Source organism: Homo sapiens, chromosome 4 (assembly GCF_000001405.40).
Source record: "Homo sapiens chromosome 4, GRCh38.p14 Primary Assembly".
Lineage (NCBI taxonomy): Eukaryota > Metazoa > Chordata > Mammalia > Primates > Hominidae > Homo > Homo sapiens.
In genome coordinates, this window is record NC_000004.12 from 106,840,525 (window position 1) to 106,842,117 (window position 1,593).

Sequence of the window (1,593 nt, forward strand, 5' to 3'; positions counted from 1 at the left end):
TTATTCATTTGCTTATCAATGTATATTTAGGTTGTTTCCATATTTTGGCTATTGTGAATAAATGCTTCAACTAACATAAGAGTGCAGAAACTTATAAAAGGTGGTGATTTCATCCCCTTTGGATGTATAGCCAGAAAAATGATTACTGGATCATGTGGTAGTTCTATTTCTTTATTTCCTTAGGAACCTTCATACTGTTTTTCTTAATGGTTGTTCCAATCTACATTCCCATCAACAGTGTACTAGGGTTCCCTTTTCTGCACATCCTTACCAACATTTTTTATCTTGTGTCTTTTAGATAACAGCTATTCTTATGTGTGTGAGGTGATACCTCATAGTAGTTTTAACTTACATTTCCCTGATGATTAGTGATCTTGAACACTGTTTCATAGACCTGTATATTTTACAGATGAAAGAGCTGAGGCACAGAAAGTTGGCAGGTAGTTTGTGAAAAATCACATAAGTATTAATTTGCCATTCTTGTTTGAACTAGGATATCTAGTGCCAGAGTCTGAACTCAATTATTACAGGATTTTTTTGTTTATATTTTATTTATTTATGTTTGAAAATTAGATCTTACTTAGTTTAATGGAATATAGAAAGCATCACAAGTTTAAGGCTTAAAAGGAAAGAAATATTGAGAATAGACCATACCTCAAACCACCACGTGGAGGCTTTTTTAAACACTTATAAACACAGGAAAAAAAGTTTTCAGGAGTCATACTGGAAATTCAAATCCACTTAAGGGGCATATACTTTTGGACAAGATAGTTAACTTCTGGAGACCTTCACCTACCTGGGCAGGAAAGTAAGTAGGTTAGTAGAAAGAGTAAATGGAAAAATATATAACATGGTGTTCAGAGCGTGTTAGATTTATAATAAAAGTTAGTTTCCTTTCCTGGACCGGATCTTCTAATTCAATTTTCAAACTAAAAGAACTTTTTGAAAACAGCTAATTAAATATTATGTGAACTTTTCCATACAATAACTATGAGCACATGTGTTATGGTTGAAGTGACAGTGAAAGGGGGAACTCTATCAGCTTGCTGATCACTGCCCTTTCCTACTACTACCTCCCTGAATCAAATACACACTGGACTATCATGGAGTTAAATTAATAGATTTACAGAAGATCCAGGTAGATTTCAAAAGAGGAGTAGAATTTTGGAGGAACTGAGACAATACCTTATCCAACAGATTTGTTTTATGTCAGAGAATTCCACTAGCTTGGTGACCTTATTCAATCATGTGGCTTTAAAACTGTCTATTGAACCACTTACAAATTTATATCTTTGGTCCAAACTGAGGTAGGTAGATAGGGTGGTCATAGCCTCCCTTAAAGGGAAACAAAGTTGCCAAACAGGTAAAGAGAACATACTGCTCGATAGTGCCCAAACAGCATCCAGGGCTTGTGGTTAGAATATCCTGCAGCAAGGAAGAAGAAGAGCAGAAGTGAAAATCCCCAAATTTGAGCAAGCACACAAAATCCATGACTAGTGTCCTTGGGTTGATGTATGCTCATGATAATACTAAAAAACACAGCACTGAGTGGATAATTAAGATGTTAATGAGACGTGAGGTATATTCTAGCAT